General features: G+C 39.7%; 1 protein-coding gene and 1 long non-coding RNA gene across 16 annotated transcripts in view; one reads left to right on the forward strand and one right to left on the reverse strand.

Moving 5' to 3' along the window:
- FRMD6-AS2 (FRMD6 antisense RNA 2) overlaps positions 1-19,957 on the reverse strand; it is a 145,441-nt gene extending 125,484 nt beyond the window's left edge. For both annotated transcript variants that reach the window (NR_051990.1, NR_047477.2), the window contains exons 1-2: positions 19,832-19,957; positions 4,171-4,288 (exon numbers count right to left, since the gene is read on the reverse strand). This is a non-coding gene — a long non-coding RNA (FRMD6 antisense RNA 2). The remainder of the gene's footprint in view (positions 1-4,170; positions 4,289-19,831) is intronic.
- Positions 1-21,956, forward strand: part of FRMD6 (FERM domain containing 6) — a 334,297-nt gene that overhangs the window by 183,565 nt on the left and 128,776 nt on the right. The window lies entirely within an intron of this gene.

Below are 21,956 nucleotides of genomic sequence, written 5' to 3' on the forward strand. Positions count from 1 at the left end.
CTCTCAAACCCAACAATGATGTTTGAATGGACTAGACTGGAGAAAGAGACAGGGAGGAAAGCCCTAACAGCATCCTGATTTTGTAGCATTGTTGTTAGAAGTTTCTGAAGTAAAAGGGAAGTTGTGTGCACCGTGTGTGTGTGTGTGTGTGTGTATGTTTGTGATCTGTCAACCCATAGGTGGGGATTATCTGGCTACCTCTCGTGGAATGAACAACCTGGGAGGAATGTGGACACCTGCCCTGCTCATTGGAAATGGACAGGCTCTGGATGGGCAGTCCCAGCTATAGGGGCACAGGAGGAATTCTGCCCAGCAGGCTCAACCTGGAAGTCCAGTATCAGCAATAATAATTTAGTAGCAGAATTGCAAACACCTATGAGCACTCCCTATGTCACTGTGCTAAGTGCTTTACATAGATTATCTCAATTATTTCTTATATTAACCCTATAGGGTAGGAGCTCTTATTATTCCTATTTTACAACTAAGGAAAATGAGGCACAGAGAAGTTAAATAGTTTGCACAAGATCACACATTAAGTGATGGAGCCAGAATTTGAACCCAAGAACTGCAACATCAGAATCCTACCCAATATAGAATGGTTGAAAATAGGTACCCTTTGATTTTTGAGAGTTAGAATGTGGAAGCATCGTAAAAAAGCAACACAATGTTTTCTGTAATATAACCCTCACAGACTGAGGAAAATGAAAGAATCAGGGGGTCTTCAGGACTATATAATGGGTAAAGAGGAAAGATAGTTAAAAGTATTTCTCAACGTGTTGCACTTCCAGCAATTTATCAATTTGTAAATGTATTTCATTACAAATATAGGGAGAATGAGGGAGCACAGCACTGTCATGCACTGTACTGGATCTGTAACTGTTCCTGGGAATTGTGCAGTGCACAGCCTGCTCATCTTTACATGGTAGCCCAAAAATGCAGGCTTCTTTATATCCCTAAATTAATATAGGAACCAAACGAAGACCTATTACTAGAGCTTGAGCTAGTGTGGCCTTCAAAAATTAAATAAAACAGAAAAGATGTGGAAATGATAGACTGGCTGCCACAGTACCATAGAAAGCAGATATATAAACCAATGTGGCCCCAGAGTCTTTCTGCAGCCTCCTCTGCCACCATGCCTTTCCATTCAACTACACTAATATCATGTAACCTGCCCCCATTCCCCTAACATGCATCCGCCCACACTTCCCACACTGTACAAATGCTTCTCTCTCATCCTCAGTCTCTCCCCCATCTTTCTTTATCTACTACCTCCTCTCCTTCAGGACCTAGACATTCATCCATGGCTCATTCATACATTCATTCAACAAACATTTCTGGAGCGCTTGAGGTAGATTCAGAAGTGACCAAGATGAGTAAGGCAATTCCCCACTCTCAAGTTTCTAACAATCTAAAGGGAAAATTAAACAAAGTGAGTCATCTCCAAGAAGTTTTATAATCATTCTCCTCTTTCTTCCCAAGCTAGAAGAAATTCTTATCTTTTGGAGGCATTTACAGTGCATATCCTTATCAGTCAAGTACCAATTCAAAAGACTTAAAGCAAAACAAACACATGGTGGAGAAACATAGAAAATATTTTGAAAGCTATAAATCACTAAGTTTATATGTCTTTATCTATCCTTGGTTCATTTTGTGAAGAGGCAATAAAATGCTAAGTTAAAGCTCAGTTGATTTTCTCCAGATACTTGCCGAATTCTTGGCATCACATTCTACCATGTTTCCAGGATTCAGAGTGTCTAAGCAGTGCTAGTGAAAAGTTCAGTTGAGCAAAAGAACTTTATGTTTCATTCTAACCTGGAAATGCTTTCCCTACCCGCATTAAATGTATGAAGCTTGAATCAGACAGCTATACATAGAGTGAAAGTAGTGTCATCCCCAAAGAGTAGCAAATCCTCATAAGGGAACCACAGTAGGTGAAAGACTTTGAAAAAAAATCCTCTGTTGTGAATATTAAATCCCAGCTCTTCCATTTTGAGACAAAAAGGGCTTATCTTTTATCTTAGTAGACTGTAGGCTCCTTTAGAATAGGACCTGTCTTATTTATTTCTCTAGCCCAAGCTTCTAGCATAGGGCTCAATAAGTATTTGTGACTACGTCATACATACTGACTAAAGTGGAAGCCTATGCTATTTTCTAATAGCTTGTCATACTCCCTAGTGTTCTACAGAAAGAGTCACTAGAGTTTGTTTCCATTTGGTTTGTTTATGTGGGGAAGGGCAGAAGGAGAATTATTTTGCTTTGTTTTTGAGATGTGTCCTAATCCAGTAGAGATCAGGATGAGAGCAATGACCTTGTCCGTCAGGATAGTCCGTCGTCCCACTTAATGAGGGAAGACATTGGATGATATTATCTTCCTTGTGATCATCACTCAAGAAAATAATTGTGGACTCAGCTTTAGTCCACATTACTTTGGAGTTTTGCTGTATTTTCACCTCAAGTATTGTAACCACACCATTTTGTGGCTCCAGACCCACCATGGCTTCCAAAGGCTATGCAGAATCATTAGGAAGCTACAAGCCTTCCCACTAGCCCACACTGCTGCTGCAGTATGCACTTATCTGGATCACCCATGAGATCAACTTGCAAACAGGAACTGGCTTATGAAGCCATGCTTGCTCTGAGAAACATAATGGTCATCTCACTGCCAGTGGAATGTAATATTTGATGTCATGACACCCTTCCTGTCCAACTTGGCATTGGCAGTTGGTTTGACTTGGTGGTGAGAAATACAACAAAACGATGAGAAATTTTCCTTCTGGAGCACTTCTTAAGGGAGCTTGGTTGCTTTATTGGAAATTCGTACTTCTTAGCTTTCATGAAATGTCCCTTTGGTACATTAGTGAGAAGGTTCAAGGCAAAATAAACACATTTCATCTTGACCATATTTGGAACTCACAATATAAAGGAGTCAAAAGGTAAGCTGATGAAATAAGAATATTTTATCCTTTTATTCCACACATAGTTTTTACTTTCTCGCCTTTCCTGCAATAACTGCCTCAACATGGTGGCACTCATATGCGTTTTCAAAAGATTTTCATTTTATTATGTATTGAATTATATAAAGTAGTGTCAGTAAATCCATTAGAAATTCTCATTCCCAACTCTTAGAATTCATCTACAAAGAGTCAGAAAGAAACCAAGACATTAAGGAGAAGCCAGTGGCTGCAGCTGCAGGGTCTTTATTATGTTTATTTGTGTCATAATTCTCTTTATTTGCCGAACTAAAATGGTTTAAAGTTGCAGTGCACCAGGTAAGGCCTCCCTTACTGTCTTCAGGTGTTTGTTTAGAATAGGTTTGTTTGTTTGTTTGTTTAGGAATAGCTGCTGTAATGCTTTGAATTCCCTTGCCAGGACACAAAGTCATAGAAAATAGCGAAGATCCTTGCTGTTTACTTGGGGAGACATTATCTACATGCACGAAACAATTTAATTCTTAAGATTTATTTAAAACGTGTGAAATGTAGTTGCAATAATAATAATAGATGATATTTACAGAGCACTTACTATGTACCTGGAGCTCTTCCATGTGTTTTCATATATTAACACATATATTAAACTTCACAACAATCTTACCAAGTAGCCACTCTTACAATCCATTTTACACATGGTGAATCTGAGCCACAGAAAGGTTAACTAACCAGCAGCTCCTAAGTAGCAGAGCTAGGATTTGACTCCAGGTGGTCTGGCTCCAGGGCCCAGGCTCTTTGGCTACCATGTGTATACACTTTCTGAAGAATTACAATGGTGCAGCCCGAAGTCACTCAGGAAAGCTGTTAGTGGACAACTTGGTTCTGGTGCAGAACCTTAATGATGGCCTAAGGTTTGAGCTGTGAAGAGGATGGAATTGGAGGTTTTAGGAAGCAAGAATAGCAGAAAGAGAAGCTGGGGTTTAGAAATGAATAAGGCATGATAGGAGGAATAGCCATCTTATAAAATGGTGTGAGAAAACTTTTATATAGAGCCTTGAGCACCAGGTTTAAAGTTTGAAACAGAAATCCATAGGCAGGTATACAAGCAAGGAATTCATTCATTAGTGCATTCATATACTTATAACACTAGAAGGACCTTAGAGAGCATCAATGTCAACTCCTCCTTTTATATTTGTAGAATCTAAAGATCTAGAGGGTTGAAATGACTCCCAGTGTCACTCACCTAGTGGCAGCATTAGAATACAGCATAACTCTTCTGATTCATCATTTAAGCTTTAAGCCTATTTCCAATGTTCCAGGACACTCTGAAAGATTCTCCTGGCAGAGGCATTTGGTTGAGCCTGGAAGGGAGAGACAAGAGGCAAGGTGACCTGTGAGGCATTATTGCAAAATCCAAGTGAAGTACAAGAGGTACACTGGGCTCAGTGAAAACAGTAGAATTTTCCAGAGAGGATTGAGAAAACATGATAGGATATCAATAATAAAGGAGCTAAGTTGCCTCCAAGCTGGCATAGCTTTGGCAGAAATAGGGAAATTGGGCAATGGTACCACTTGGGCATAGACAGCATCAGTTCAGGTTTGGTACCTGTGAGAGGGAGTTGGCTTTATTATAATTACTTCTGTATGGAACCTTGTGTAACATGATGATCACATTCCAAGGCCCTTTGCAATTTTTCCATTAATCAGTTGCCACCATCATCAGCATGTGAGCAAGTCCTTGTCAACCCTGAGATGAAATTTAACTCAGTTTTGCTTTAATATCCATTAGGCTCCATCCTGGCCTTTCCTTTTCTTAGTTTCTTTCGCTGCCAATCAGCTTCATACGTGTCCACTTTCCTCAGAGTCTGTAAATTATAGTGGTAAAGGGTATAAGCTCTGAAGGCAAATGGCCTAAATTTGAATTCTGGTTCTACAACGCTTCTGTGACTTGGGCAAATTTAATTCTTTTTAGAATTAATTCTTTGTGGCTCAGTTTCCTCATTCATAAAAAGATATTGTGATCAGTGCTTATCTTCTAGCAAGAATGTGAATATTAAATGAGTTAATACACATAAAGCCCTTGGAATGGTCCTTGCACGTAGTGAACACTCAATACACAGTAGCTGTCATTGTTGCCATCCTATCATTCCCCTTTGCTGCATTATAGTTTCAGGGCGTTCTGTCTCTAGGACAGCCTGGCAAGATGGAGTTCTTCCTTTCCACCAGGCACGCTGTTCCTGTGACTGCTATTTTAACATTAGCATGTTATTTTCGCCCCTAGAAGCTCCTCCTGTTTCTCCAGCAAAGCTATCCTAGGCCCCCAGTTCCTCACCACATCTGAGTCTCTCCCCAGTAAACCATCTTTCACCTTCATACATATACACATACGACTTAAATTTGTCCCAGCGGAGGGAGGGAGTGACCCCTTTCTCCTTTTTTATGCAATCTCACAACCTGAAATTGTGATGAGGCTACAATTTAAGTGTTTACCCAATTTAAGTGTTTACAATTTAACTGTTTACCCAAGAAATATCAGATTTAGCAGATTATAAATTGTCTGCTTCTGAAGCAAGACCAAGAAGGGATTAAAAGCAAAGACCTGAGAGGCAGCTGAACCTAGGTTCAAATCCAGGTTTCACATTTATGAGCTATGTGACTTTAGATCGAATAACAACTGAGTCTTGGTTTCCTCATCTATAAGATAGGAATACCTATCTTGCATGTTGTAAGGATTAAAGGTTATAAACTTTATAAAGTAGGTAATTTTTAACCCCTTGCCCGATTCCCACCCTCTCACCTTTCATAGTCTCCAATGTCTATTATTTCACTCTGTATGGTCATGTATACCTATTATTTACCTCCCACTTGTGAGTGAGAATATGCAATATTTGACTTTCTGTTTCTGAGTCATTTCACTTAGGATAATGGCTTCTAGTTCCATCCATGTTGCTGCAAAAGACATTATTTTATTCTTTTTATGGCTGAATAGTATGCCATGGCATGTGTGTGTGTGTGTGTATATATATATATATATATATAACATTTTCTTTATCAAACCTTTGTTGATGGGTACTTGGATTGATTCCATGATTTTGCTATTGTGAATAATACTGCAGTAAATATACAATGCAGGTGTCTTTTTGATATAATAATTTCTTTCCTTTTGGGTATACACCCAGTCATGGGATTGCTGGTTTAAACGATAGGTCTGTTCTAAGTTTTTGAGAAATCTCCATACTGTTTTCTACAAAGGTTGTACTAATTTACATTCCCACCAACGATGTATAATCTTTCCCTTTTCTCCACAACCTCACCAACTTCTGTTGCTTTTAGACTTTTTAACAATAATCATTCTGACTGGTATAAGATGATACCTCATTGTGGTTTCAATTTGCACGTCTCTGGTGATTAGTGATGTTGAACATTTTTTCATATGTTTGTTGGCCACATCTATGACTTCTTTTGAAAAATGCCTGTTGATATCCTTTGCCCACTTTTTAAAGGGGTTGTTTTTCTTCTTGAGCTGTTGGAATTCCTTACGGATTCTGGGTACTAGCCCTTTGTTGGATCCATAGTTTGCAAATATTTTTCCCATACTGTAGTCCGTCTACTCTCTTGATTGTTTCTTTTTGCTGTGCAGAAGCCTTTTAATTTAATTAACTCTCATTTGTCTATTTTTGTTTTTGTTGCATTTGCTTTTGAGGACTTGCTAAAAAATTATTTGCCTTGGGCAATGTCTAGAAGAATATTTCCTGGGTTTTCTTCTAGGATTTTTATGGCTTCATGTCTTATGTTCAGGTCTTTACTTTATCTTATTATTATTATTAATCATTATTTTGGACATGGCATCTTGCTCTGTTACCCAGGCTGGAGTGCAGTGGCATGAGCATGGCTCACTGCAGCCTCAACCTCCTGGACTCAAGCAATCCTCCCGCCTCCATCTCCTAAGTAGCTGGGACCACAGGCATGCACCACCACACTCAGCTAATTTTTTAAAAAAAGTTTTTTAGAGACAGAGTCTCGCCATGTTGCCATGTTGCCTAGGCTGGTCTTAAACTCCTGGGCTCAAGCAAACCTCCTGCCTTGGCCTCTCAAAGTGCTGGGGTTATGGCCATGAGCCATCACTCCTGGCCCAAGTTCATCTTTTTCTATGGTGAGAGGTATGGGTCCAGTTTTATTCTTCTGCATGTGGCTATGCAATTTTTCCAGCAACATTTGTTGAATAGGGTGTCATTTTCCCAGTATATATTTTTGATGACTTTGCCAAAGATCAGTTGGTTGTTAGGTATGTGGCTTTATTTCTGGGTTCCCTATTCTGTTCCATTGATCTATGTGTCTATTTTTATACCTGCAGCTAAATTTTAGTAGTAGATTGAGGTGGCTTCTCTGAAAATACAGATGAGGTAGCAGTGACACCTCTGAGTGTCACCTCCTCTTAGATGGAGTTTAGCTTTATTGAGGGCAGACCTTAAACACTCTTTATGCCAAGTTTTATTAGCTTGGGTTAATTGTATGGCCGCGGTGGCTGGTGCGAAATTGACCAACCCTAAATATTAGTATAGCTTAGTTAAACTTTCGTTTATTATTAAAGATTTATCACTGCTGTTTCCCGTGGGGGTGTGGTTGAGTAAGGTGTTTTGAGCTGCATTTGTGTGTGCTTGATATCTGCTGCTTTTGATCTGGGTGATCTAGAGGGCATTTTCACTGGGATGGAGATGCTTGCATGTGTAATCTTACTAAGAGCTGATAAAAAGGCCAGGACCAAACCTATCTGTTTATGGGGTTGTGCAGACCCATCTAGACATTTTCAGTGTTTTGCTTTGAATAGTTAAGCTGCATTAACTGTAAAAATGCTTAAGTATAAAATTAAAATATGAAGAAGAAACAAGTGGTCCCTGTCCATGAAAGTAACCTTGAGGGTCCTTCCTACTGACGTTAGCGGCAATGACGTTCTTATCACTGTTCTGTGCATTCAATAGAACAAGAAAAAGTTTAGGGTTACAGCACGATGGAAATGAACTCCCCTGACCCCTGAGAGTCAAGTGCTGTTTGGATTAGGATTTTAGCTATTTTTCCCCCATATTTTCTTTCGTTTTCATTATGTTCTCTAGCATTACTATAGTCTGTATTACTGTGCTATTTCATATTCTCTCTTGTAATTTTTTTCACTGTTGAAAGTAATAAATATTTATTGCAAACTTTAAGTAATATAGACATTTAAAATGAAAACTTACTTTTCTCCTAATACAAAAAAGCATTTCCCCCCCTCCCAAACCTGCAAATGACTCAATGTATATGCTGGGAGTTTTTTTGTTGTTCTGTTTTCTGTTAATCTTTGTTTTTTGGTTTTTTTAATTTTATTATTATTATACTTTAAGTTTTAGGGTACATGTGCACCATGTGCAGGTTTGTTACATATGTATACATGTGCCATCTTGGTGTGCTGCACCCATTAACTTGTTAAAAGATTAATTTTTATTACATCCTAACAAAACTAGCAGAGAGAGAAGTTTAAAAGAAAAATAGGTGTTCTGCAGGTCTCTACTTGATTATGTAGGAAAATTATAAATTATAAATACAAGGAGCAGAAATACCCTCCCCTGCTGAAATATCTTCTACATCTACAGGAACACGACCCAAACAGGGGACATGGTTCTCCCATTCCCTTTGAGACAAATTTTAGTGATCAGCTTGAATGCTCACATGAGGAGAGTTTTAGATCTCCTAAAATGACTTCCACCCCAGGCTGCCCCAACCTCACACTCTGATATGCCACCATCTATGCCTAACAGTTCTCACTTGAAATAATTCTGGCGAACTTAAACTGTAAAGCATTAAATCAAAGAACAAAGAGAGGCTCACAGACTCATGGGAAGGCCAGAGAATCAGACACAAAACCCACACAGGGGACAAAGGAAACTCAAAGTCTCATGCCACATGAACAGTGTGGCTTGGTCACTGCCATTTCTGGGGACTGTGCGCCACGGCTGATGCCATGTCACTGAGTGGTGACTGCACCATGACCACCATAAGCCCTAAACTGTCCAGGCTTCTCTGGGTCACTCACTCTGATATTAAACACCCATGGGAACATGCAGTTGACCTTCTACCTCACAGTTGATAATGGGAAGGGGATTCAGATGATGGAGAGCTGAAAAATGACAAATATTTACTTTCCTTCCTGTCCTTCTCTACCTGCTCACATTCTACCTTGAACTAAGTATGCAGCAAGCTTTCATTCTTTTCCAAAAAGAGTTTTTAGTCCCCACAGCATTATCAATCCCATTTTACAGATGGGAAAACCAGAGGATAAGTGACTATAGAAGGTCCTAGAGAGTATTTATCACTCCTAGATTTTTGCTCCATGTACAGGTTTTAAAACACCACCATCCACTATTGTTTTGTTTTGGTTGGGTTTTTGTTTTTGGTTTTTTTTGTTGTTGTTGTTGTTTTTCTTTTTTCTTTTTTTGCTGATGGAATCTTTTTTTATTTTTCTAATGAAACCTTGCAAGAAACTGCAACATCTAAGGCAGATCAAAGCAGATCTGCTTGGGTTGAAGAAGGGTGAGGGAGAACAGAGCCCCATCTGCTTGGCCTCACACTCCTCATTTCACATACACAAAACACTCTCCACTGAGGGATGAAAATGCTACTGCCAGCCTCAGCCAGAGAGCCTGATCATTCCTGGCTCATTTTCTGTTACTACCCCTCTGGTTCTGGAATTGGGGACAGGAAGTAGCTCTGAGTTCAAATAGAGTTAGCTGTGCATAACCAACTGTGTCCATGACCATGGTCCAGCTTTCTTAAAACAAGTTCCATAGAACACAAGTTAGTCCAGATATCAATAAATGATCACGTAAATGAGGCTGTGCATGGTGGCTCACGCCTGTAATCCCAGTGCTTTGGGAGGCTGAGGCGGGTGGATCACCTGAGGTCAGGAGTTCGAGACCAGCCTGGCCAACATGGGGAAACCCCGTCCTACTAAAAATACAAAAATTAGTGGGGCGTGGTGGCAGGCACCTGTAATTCCAGCTATGCAGGAGGCTTAGGTAGGAGAATTGCTTGAACCTGTGAGGCGGAGATTGCAGCAAGCCAAGATCGTGCTACCGCACTCCAGCCTGGGCAACAAGAGCGAAACTCAAAAAAAAAAAAAAAAAAAAAAATCAGGTAAGTGAGAATTTTTTAAAAAGTTTTGTTAATGTTGGATTTCTCACCTTGTCTAAAAATATAGAAAAAAATAGGTTTGTAATTCCCAATAAATTGAAAACATTTTTTACCTACAAAGAAGGACTCTCCGAGAGTGTCATGACACTGCAAAGAGGCAGAATGATGGTGAGATTTTTCCAGATGTTTGACCAGAGAACTATTTTTCAAGTTCTATTTCTCAGAGGCAGCCTCTTCGATTTTTTTGGTTTGTTTTTGTTTTTAAACACCTACCAATATCATTTGGCTATTTTTGGAGGAAGGATTAATTGGTTTGTACCCAGCAATTTTTTTTTTTACAAGTGTTCCTCTAAAGCTTGTAAATCCAAGAAGAAATGCTAAATTCACCCAGGAAAGTTAAACCCCTGACTCCCTAATAGCTGAAGGATCTGGTTTATGCAACAGCATTTCTCTGTCAAGTAAGAGTACAGACTGTGTGGCTTAGAACTCAGAAAAACCCTAGGCCCAGATACTCTCAGAACAGTAACGACAGTAATTACAACTCTCTAAAAGGGGTCTGTAAAGTTCAATTACAAAAGACAGTGAGGTGAAGGGATATTTGCTTTCAGACTCACTTTTTTAAAATCCTGGTGGCTGTATATTTACTCCTCAAGGAAAATGGAGATGTCTCCAAAGATCTGATCCAAATGCAAAAAGTGACCAAAGTTTTGGAGAAGAAATAATTTAACTGGTTGGAAGGCATCAAGCTGCCCAGAGCAATCTCTTCCAGGTGGACAGCTGTGACTTACTGTTTTACTCTGTGGAAGTTAATGTGTAGCCTGATTTATATATACCTCGCAGTCCCCTGTTGCCTTTTTCTTCAAATGAAACCTGCTCAGCCTGGATTCTAATATCTTCCTCAACTGCATCTTTATCTCACCAATTCATTCTCAGCTTAGATAAATCACTGACCCAATGGCAGCTGCTGTGGGGTTTTTTTTGGTTCATTTTGTTTTGTTTTGTTTTCGTATAAAATTGGAGCAATCAGAACTTCTCTGTCACCTCTGAGGGCTGTGGTGAGAATCCATCATGTTGATCAGGGCCAAGGCCAGTCCATACTGCGTCTTTGTGTAAATTAGGTAAAGGCAGCCCTTCTGGAAGTATGTGGTGGTGTTGAAAACACACAGAAGAAGTGATGCTGGCAGAAAACAAAACAAAACAAAACAAACAAAAAAAAACTTTACATTAAAGGAACTATCAGAGATAGTTCACCTCATTGAAAGTACAAAGGACAAAGTGGTGGAAGCTGATCCAGACTTAGAAGTATGACAATTTGCAAAAAAGATGCTTGCTCCACATTATAAGTTGTACAATGAAAGATAGACCAGCATTATTCAAACTATTTCTGATAAGTTTTTTACAAAGAAATAAAACACTTTAATTCTCAACATTTCTATATTTTAAATTCAGAGTACTAAAGATTAATTTTACTGTTTTTTCTTTTCTTTCTTTTTCCAAGACGGCTAGAGTGCAGTGGCGCAATCTCAGCTCACTGCGACCTCTGCCTTCTGGGTTCAAGCAATTCTCCTGCCTCAGCCTCCCAGTTAGCTCAGATTACAGGTGTGCGCCACCATGCCCAGCTAACTTTTGTGTTTTTAGTAGAGACGGGGTTTCACCATGTTGGCAAGGCTGGTCTCAAACTCCTGACTTCGTGATCCACCCTCCTTGGCCTCCCAAAGTGCTGGGATTACAGGTGTGAGCCACCACATCCGGCCACTATTTTTTATTTTCTTATACATTTATAAACAACAGTAAGAGAGTTTAATGACAAAATAATTTTAAAGGTTACAGAACAATTGGATTTTCTCCACTGATTGTTAAGATCACTTTGCATGATTCTAGCTTTCATGGTCATTTTTGCAGTCTCACACTATCATGCAAAGTGACAACTGCCCATACCTATATATACTCCATAGGAAAAAAGTTACCATTACAAATACACCAAAAAGTTAATATAGGAGTTGGAATTACAGCTGGTTTTAATTTTCTTTTCTGAAATTTTCATATTTTCAAATGTTCAACAATTAGCACATGTTGCTTTTGTGATCAGAGAGGAAATTGTGATTTACAAAAAAGCTTGGTTTAAAATTCAGCTCCATTGAGAGTTTTAGACCCCTTTGACTGGCTCTCTCTGTCCTCGGTTCAGAGTCCTTTGATCAAAATATTGTTAGGATGCCTTGTTGCTGAACTATAGCTCTGTAAAGGCATTTGGGTTATTGCGTGTGTTTTAAAAATTATCTGAACTAAACTAAAATTTCTCGTGTATAGAAACTATGTATTTATATGTTATCCTTCCCATCCCTGGAGCCCTGTACAGTGTTTTAAATAAGTAGTAGGTGCTCAATAAATATTCTAACCTATCTCTCAAAAACTTGCCAGCAGTTGCTGAAAAAATTACCCAAAGAGCATCAAGGAACACATTAGATGACATTTGAACACGATGTAATAAATTTCCTGTAAAATTACTTGTGTTCTACTCATTTAATTAAAAATTTAATTTCCCTGCTTCAAACAACAAATTATTGAGAATCTAGAGGCTCCTAAATCATAATGGTTACATTTTTTGGTTTCCATCGTAACTGTAATTCAGCCTTAGAGCCTTAACACATTTCTTTAGATTACAGCAAATAGGGTTAAATTTTTAATCTGTATGTACATATCAAAGCAAAGTTCTGATTTTTATAGAAGCCACAATTTCTATTTTTAAATGTTCATTTAAAATTAACAAAATATCTTACAAATGATTTTTTAAATATATGTCCTTTATTAAAAATATATGAAGTGCAATGAAAGACAAAACCTGTGCATTCCTCATTGTAGCACCTATTTTTAAGGCTTCCCTATCTGAGTCAGCTCAGTCTTTGATGTGGGAGGAAAGGGATATAGGCAGAGCTGATGGTTATGTGATGTTATTTTGTCACTCAGTTTAGTAAACAATGCCTTTCGTAGTTTTTACCTAAACCACCTTCTTATTTTTTATGGCATCCTGATGAGCTGCATTTCATTGCAGGGTCCTCGGTGTAACTGATGGGATGTTAACATATCTGCACCTGCAGAGGGAAGTCATGTGGGTGAGGAGAGTAGGCAAGGGACTCTATAACACTGCCCCAGCGAACAGCTCCAGATTTCCCTTCTGACAAAGAGAGGGTATTTGTAATGTAGCCTCTAATGCAGCCAAAGAAACATGCTGACCTTCTTCTTGGATTTTACATTCACCCTTTCCTGAAGAATGTGAATAAGTGGAAGCAAAGACAAATAAATCCTAATTTCAAAATATATCTAGAATTTTTAGCTCCCCTCTCACAGCTTTTAAAATAAAAACTTACTTGCCAGATTACTAAATTGTACCTGTGACAACAGAAAAATGAATGTCAGCAGAGCAAGCTGTGTTGTACCAGCAGACAGTTGGCTGCTGCACGTATATTCCTGTGCCTCTGAATGGTCTTGCTTCGCATCCTCTGCCCTCAGCCTTGTGAGACTGTAGTGAGCACATGACTGTGCCAGACAGGGGTGAACTTGTGCTTTCTAATGACGAATCCAGCTGTTTTGATTCTGTCTTCTCTGCTGGAGTTCGTGGGCTTCATTCTCAAAGAGAATAATCTAGGTAAACCCTGACTCCCGTTTCTGGATACCAGACTACTTTGATATAGTAAGTACAAAATTGAAGATGGCAATTTGAAATATGTTATGTGTATATATAAATACACACATATATCTATATATACATACACACACACACATATATATGTATATATATATGAACCACACCCCCAACTCTACAAAATTTTCATTTCTCCTTTCCAAGAATAGAATCCCCCTACTTTCTGAAGCAAAAGTAAGACCAAACGGCTTGGCATTTACAGATATACTCAGAGGGACAACAGAACAGGGTGTGTGAAATGGGAATGCCACAGTGAATTACTGATGGAACCTAGATGAACTCACGACATTTCTTATACCCCCTCCAGAGATTTACTAAGAACAAGAAATGAGTACATGTTTTGTTTGTTTGTTTTTGAGATGAAGTCTTGCTCTGTCACCCTGACTGGAGTGCAGTGGCGCGATCTCGGCTCACTGTAAACTCCACCTCCTGGGTTCAAGCAATTCTCCTGCCTCAGCCTTCCAAGTAACTGGGATTACAGGTGTGCACCACCACGCCCAGCTAATTTTTGTATTTTATTTTTATTTATTTATTTATTTATTTATTTATTTATTTTTTTGAGACGGAGTTTCACTCTTGTTGCCCAGGCTGGAGTGCAATGGTGCGATCTTGGCTCACGGCAACCTCTGCCTCCCAGGTTCAAGTGATACTCCTGCCTCAGCCTCCCCAGTAGCTGGGATTAGAGGCATGTGCCACCACGCCCGGCTAATTTTATATTTTTTGGTAGAGATGGGGTTTCTCCATGTTGGTCTGGCTGGTCTCGAACTCCCGACCTCAAGTGATCCACCCGCCTCGGCCTCCCAAAGTGCTGAGATTACAGGTGTGAGCCACCACGCCTGGCTAATTTTTGTATTTTAGTAGAGATGGGGTTTCACTATGTTGGTGAGGCTGGTCTAGAACTCTTGACCTTAGGCGATCCACCTGCCTTGGCCTCCCAAAGTGCTGGGATTACAGGCATGAGCCACCACACCCGGCCATGAGTACATGGGTTAACCCTTGTCCACCCCAGGGACCCAACTCCCCACTGTGCTTGGAAATGGGAAATAAAGCAGGAAGAGTCCCTGTTATTTACCGGTGGCAAGACTCTGGCCAGAATTGTTAAGCAAGAGCAAAATTGGCTGCTTTGGATATTCGTTCCTTCCTTTGGAGATGGTGCCTTCAGGAAAATTATCAGAACTTGCATAGAAGAGAAATAAAGAATGATGAGCTGTTGGGTTAACCCTGGATACTCAGCCTCAACGGAAGGGGTAGGGAGTCCTGGATTGTGCTAGACACCAAAGGAGGGAGCCTGTAGTTCTCATCCCGTTCTGTGCTAGGAGACCACATGGACCAATGAGCCAAAACTCTTGGAATAGGTGGACTAAGTAGATGCTTAAGCAATGTGATTTGAGAGCGACCCGTCTTGCCAAAGCTGCATCAGTCCCCTAACTCTGAGTGCCTGGAATTCTGACTTTCAGAGTACCACTTTTAGGCTAAGGCATTATTGACAGAAGATCCCTTTGAACTCAAATCTGTACCCTGGAAATATGATGTATTTTGTTATTAGATCCCATTTTCTCAGATTATTCTACAAAACACTTTAGCATTTCCTTAACAGAGTCTGGGAAACAGGATACTCTGAAATCAAGGAACATGGGACTGGTAAACTTTGATTATGTTGGAAAGGTAGAGACCAAAATCTACTTCCAGGGCAGACAGGGATATGAAAGTATTGTTAACAGTGTGAAGGCTCATCTCTGGAGTGAGTGAAGTGTCAGAAAGAAAAAGAACATTTATAGGGGAGTACATAGGGTGAACCCTGACAGCATGAAATCCAGCCACATCTGCCAAATCAAAGATGGCAAGGGGAAGCCCTTCTGTTTCATGGAAAAGCCAATTAATGAGGATGAATTGAAGATAATATTGTAGATCAATTACATGCTGTAAAATATAATGTACTAGCTTTTCCATATGGCTATAGACTATGGTTCATGAAATTTTTCAGTAAACAACAGTTTGCCTTCCTTAGAGTCTCAGGCAATAATGAGTCTTCTCCATTCTGGTTTTATTTTAAAACTAAACTATTGTCGATAATTAATTAATGGTATTCTAATGTAAACAGAATATAAGTTTCACAATCTTGAATTTATTTTTCCTCTTCTTTGGGGTATGTAGGGTTTTACATATTTTGGTTTGTGCTTATGGAAAAATGTTTTACTTCTGCTGTTGAAATCATAGCCACCCGCTGTTTTCTATAGTTATGAAATATTATAAGTCTTGTCACTTGCAGAACTAATGTTCCCACTGAGATGCCTCTCTAGCCTTTTTGATTAAAAAGCAGCAACAGCAAAAGACACAGCCTGGGACTGAGTGACCTATTATTTTTGTGTCTCATTTGGTCACAGTAATTCTCAACCCATGCTTCACATCAGAATGAACTATGCAGTTTTTTGGAATTGTGGAATTTCCAAGAGGAGAGCCTGGTGTGTGTGTGTGTGTGTGTGTGTGTGTGTATGGGTATGTGTGAAATTCCACAGGAAATCTGATACGTAGCCAGAATCAAGCACCCTCACATTACTGATTTCAGGGAGTATTGCACTGTGAACCGTGTAAGCCTGAGGTTGGGAGGTGATTTAAATTCTATTATAAGCTGATACCTACTATCTAAGACCCTGTCAAATGATCATATCAAAATATTTTGTGTTCATTGCTCTCTCTGCCTGATTGTTTCTCTGATACTTACATGAAAATTAGAAAAAGTGTACTCCTTCGTAAGTTTACCCATGTGGCTGAGTGTCATCAATAATGACTTTGTGTAGCTTTATGTATGGGAGGAAGTGTTTTGCATCCTGAGGGTGGTGGCCTGAGCTGTGGCTGAGTCTCAAGGCTCATGGTTAAGCAGTGACGCTTCTGTGGCCTGTGAATACCACTTGCAATGTGGACACATTGGTGGGTGAGAGTTACTCTGAGCAGAGCCCCACCGCCTGGTTCAAAAGTTCATGGGCCCAGAAAGAGCAATGATAGTGTAGAGACTCAAGAGAAAAGCTGTCTTTCACACAAGAGCATTCAGAGAAGCCATGCAATGACCAGCTCATCCAAGGCAGACAGCACCCCGCATGTATACGTGGGGTCCTCAGATCTGCTGCTCTGTTGTTGCAAGTTTATACATCACACAGATGCCTCCCCACTTAGGAAAAACTGCATCGCATTTAACTAACACATGTAAATATTCATTTTATAAATATGCAATTTTATAGGAGCCTGATTGCAATGTGTCAAAGAGGGCATTTGCTCATGAAGCAATGTTACCTATGATGTGCATAATCATTCACACATTTTTTGTACCATGTGGTAAATACAGCAACAGACATTATCTAATGTGTGCCACAGAATGCACTAGGTGATATGGGAGCTGGGAGATCATCACACATGCATTCTACCATAGAGAGCTTATCTTATGTTTAAAAAAATGAAATATATGCATACATAACTAGAATGCAGGGCAGAATATGGCACATGCCACACAGTACAATGGAAGTACTTCGCTATTTCAGCATAAGGAGATTGACCCTAGCTAAAGGCAATTAGGAGTCGCTCCCTGGAGGAGACAGCATCCGCCCTTCATTTTGAAGGCTATATAGGATTTGGACAATGCAGAGTTTAGGGGAGGGACCAGATGTGGAGGCTTTCCAGGCAAAAGGAACAGGAGTGAGCAGAGGCCTAAGATGGAGACCTAGAGCCTACAGCACGTTTGGCTGGAATGCAGAATGTGTAACGAGGAAAGGCAGCTCTGCCACCCTGTAGAAGGCCATCCTGGTCAATGACTCAGCTTCTCTGTGCCCCAGTTTTTCATCTGTAAGTGGGGATAATGGTGCCTACTTGATAGGGCTGTGTGATGAATGAATGAGCTAATATATACAAACTACTTAAAACATTCCTTGGTGCATAGTAAGTGTTCTATAAATGTTCAATCCAAGTTATTAAAGAAGGGGGTAAAGAAATTCCAAGACCAGATGATCTCTAAGATGGTTCCAATTCCAAGGTCTAGCACTCAGGGCCACTGAGAGTTCTGACTGGTCTCTGAGGGTGGAGTGCAGCGCCCAAGGCTGCCTTGCCATTAAACCTGATGACAGTTTGGAGAAGTGTGGGAAGAGACTGAGGCCTGGAAACAAGGATGATTCAAAACAGATGCAGACGGCTGCCCCCCAACCATCCATTTTTGCTGTTAATATGAATATGGAATTTGAAGAAAAGGGCAAGAAGCCATTTTATGCTATTCCCTGATTTCTCCCCAGTGGAAAATTCCCTATTTTGAATTGCTTTCAACTGTCTTTTGTGTTTTCATTGACAATGAAATTATTTAAAAAGAATGAGAGAAAAACAGCTTTGCTCCAGAGAGGAGAAAAAATTAAAGAAAACTAATTTCTCCCCCTAGCCCCCAAAAAACCAAACCAGAAATTAACATTATAATCTATAATCACAGACACAGAAAGTGGTCCCAAGAGCCAAACCTCCTCCATTCCCTTCCTGCAGAAGCACCCCAAGTGTGATTGAGAATAAATGAAGGGAGTTGTCAGGGTATGGGGTGAATATCAGTCTGACTGCTTATTGTTGCATGTCATTGCCTTTCTTCTTTCTAAAATAATTTTAACTTTTAGTTTAGATTCATGGGGTACATGTACAAGTTTGTTAAGTAGGCATATTGTGTGATGCTAAGGTTTGAGATATGAATGATCCCATCACCCAGGTAGTGAGCACAGTACCCAATAGGTAGTTTTTCAGCCCTTGTCTCCTTCCCTCTCTCCCCATTCTTGTGGCCTCCAGGGTCTACTGCCGCCATCTTTATGTCCATGAGTACCCAGTGTTTAGCTCCCACTTATCAGTGAGAACATGTGGTATTTGGTTTTCTATCTCTGGGTTACTTCACTTAGGTTGCATCCATGTTTCTCAAATAACATTATTTCATTATTCTTATGGCTGTGTAGTATTCCATGGTGTATATATAACACATTTTCTTTATCCAATCCACTGCTGATGGGCACCTAGGTTAATTCTGTCTTTGCTATTGTGAATAGTGCTGCACTGAACATACAAGTGCATGTGTCTTTTTGGTAAAATGATTTATTTTCTTTTGGATAAATACCCAGTAATGGTATTACAGGGTCAAATGTAGCTCTGTTTTAAGTTCTTTAAGAAATCTCCAAACTGCTTTCCACGGTGGCTGGACTAATTTACATTCCCACCAGCAGTGTATAAGCATTCACTTTTCTCAGCAGCCTTGCCAGTATCTGTCTTTTTTTTTTTTTTTTTTTTTTTTTTTAGTAATAGCCATTCTGACTGGTGTGAGGTGGTATTTCATTGTGGTTTTGCTTTGCATTTCTCTGATTATTATGATGTTGAGCATTTTTTCTATGTTTGTTGGCTGCTTATATGTCATCTGATCTTCAACAAAGTTGACAAAAATAAGCAATGGGAAAAGGACTTCTTATTCAATAAATGGTGCTGGGATAGCTAGCTATCCATATGCAGAAGAATGAAACTGATCCCCTCCCTTTCACCATATACAAAAATTAACTCAAGATGGATTAAAGATTTAAACATAAGGCCACAAAGTATAAGAATTCCAGAAGAAAACTTAGGAGACACCATTCTGGGCATTGACCTTGGGAAAGAATTTATGACTAAGTTCTCAAAAGCAATTGCAACAAAAACAAAAATTGGCAAATAGGACCTAATTAAACTGAAGAACTTCTGCACAACAAAAGAAACAATCAACAGAGTAAACAGACAACCTATGAAATGGGAGAAAATATTTGCAAGCTATATATCCAGCAAAGGTCTAATATCTAGAATTCATGAGAAACCTAAACAATTGAACAAGCAAAAAGCAATTAACCTCATTAAAAAGTGGGCAAAAGACACAAACAGACTTCTCATTGCCTTTCTAAGGCAGGCACAGGTTTCCTTAGTTCTGGCTCTTTTTTCTTCAAGCTTTGTAGCCAGGTTCTGAATGAATACCACCCCCCAGGTAAAATTCCTTGTTAAATGCTGAAACACATACCTTTGAGAACCTCTCACTTCTCTGTAAATGGTTCTTTTTGCATCTAGTGTGGCCTCTGAGTGTACCCATGGAGGCTCCTGGGTCCTCAGAGTCTGGACGGGGAGCCAGGAGTCCTGGCCTCTATTTCAGCTCCCGACGGCCAACCTGGGCTTCAACCACAGCACAGACTCCTGACTACTCCCACCCAAAAAGAGTTGTTGGAAGACTTGAAATCACAGATCTGAGAACTCCTGCACTTTGTAAATTCAAGATGACATTGTTACTGTTCTAATTTTTTTAAAATTACAGCACTCTCACTTTTTCTCCAAAAAAGGTATAAACAAGAAGATAGTTTGACTTGTTTACCTAAAGCTCTCCTTTGAGTTGCCAAGAGGAGTTAGTTACTTGAACACAGACACAGAAATACGGTCGATAGCAAAATAAGATATGCTGAGCTCAGGAGCTTAATTTTTTTCCCTTCATTGAGTAACATTTCAGAAAAGCACCAGTAATTGGAACATAATTTATTTATCAACAGGAATTCAGAATACTCCCTTGCAGTTGATTTTGGAAATCCATGTGACCCTAGCAGAGTGCTATAACCAAGGTGAGAAAGGCTAGAAACAGACGTAGAATTACAATTACCAAAGGGAGAAGAGTTCACTGTGAATATTTAACACACACTGGCATTTGGCCACTAAACTCTGGGTCTTCCTTCAAAGTTCCTGACATACCCATTTATAAAGGAGGTTAATAATCCCTTTGTACCTACACCCCCACAGTTACAGCTAAATAACAATTTTCATGATAAGCCTTTATTTTTCTGCAACTTAGAATTTAAGGCAGCAATTTCATCTACAATGTTTAAGCCCAGAATTTATTTTTGGCCTTTTCAAAAGAAAGTTGTACCCATTTAACTTCGCCTGGCAATATAAGAGAAAAATGTTTTTAAAAGTACAGATTTTAATTAACTAGGCAATTTGCCTTTCTCTGAACAATCAAACCCTGGCCATTGCCAAAGGCAGGAAGCCAGACTAAGCAGAACCATGGTTAGATACAGGGAGGCAATGTCAAGGGCTTGCAGCAAGCAGCAGTTGCCCATAGCCTGGGTTAGTAATATGCATATTATTTTAATATCCTATTAGCACTTGGCTTTGAAATGAAAATTGGGTGACTAAAGACAAAGATTTTTGGGCAGCAATTTTTAGAACATAGAGGTAAGATGTGTTTTTCACCACTTGCTTTAAGAAGCACCCTGATGCCCAGATGTTGACCTTTAAGCTACCTCTCCTAGCTCTGGGGTTTCCTGGCATTTCATGGGCAGACCTGTCCCCCAGCATCCACTATGCTTTGGGTAGAGCTGAGCTCCAGCTTTTGAAGCCTCTGGTCAGGGTTGGATGAATGGCAAGCAAACACTGCCACAAGAGAAAACCTGCTGGCTGGCAGCCCCTGGGTCAAAGCTTGTTTTAGTTTCCCGAGACCACCTTTCTATGAGACCTCAGAGAAGGGTTTTACTGCCCCAGGGGTGTAGGATGTGATTTTTAGGAAAAAAGACTCTTGCAATTTCAAGTCTGGGTAACTTATCTTTCTTTGCCTACCTGGTGAGAGGATACCTTTGCAGGAAATGCTGTCACATCAACCCTCCATTGCCCTATTTCTCTTTGCCTGTCCAAGGGTTACCTTGGAATTAGTGGTGAAACTTCCAGGTTCAGTCATATGCTAAAGGACTCATGAATGCATTTTGTTTGGAGCTTTACAAATCTCTAGAAATTTAGTAAATGGCTCAAGAACTCCCTCTAAGCTCAAGTTGTTTAAATTTTATTTTTCTTTTTATCATTTATGCACAAGTAAAACCATGAAGTAGTGACTTCAACTGGATAAAAGGCTTAAGACCCTGAGGATATTGTGAAGCCATTATCCATGAGAGGAAGAAGGCAAGGTCCTATGTCTACCAACATGCAGACAAATGTCCCTGACTGCCTAGGCTTGGTAACATTGAGCAATTATTTTTGTCCTTATCATAATTTAGTCATTTAATTTCTTTATCATTTTCTTGGCAGTTAATAGCCTCTGATTTGAATTTTTATTTTTTCTTGTACCACAGTTGTTCTGCCTCCCTGATTAGATTGTAAGCACCAGTAGATAA

This window comes from Homo sapiens, chromosome 14, assembly GCF_000001405.40.
Source record: "Homo sapiens chromosome 14, GRCh38.p14 Primary Assembly".
NCBI classification, from domain to species: Eukaryota; Metazoa; Chordata; class Mammalia; order Primates; family Hominidae; genus Homo; species Homo sapiens.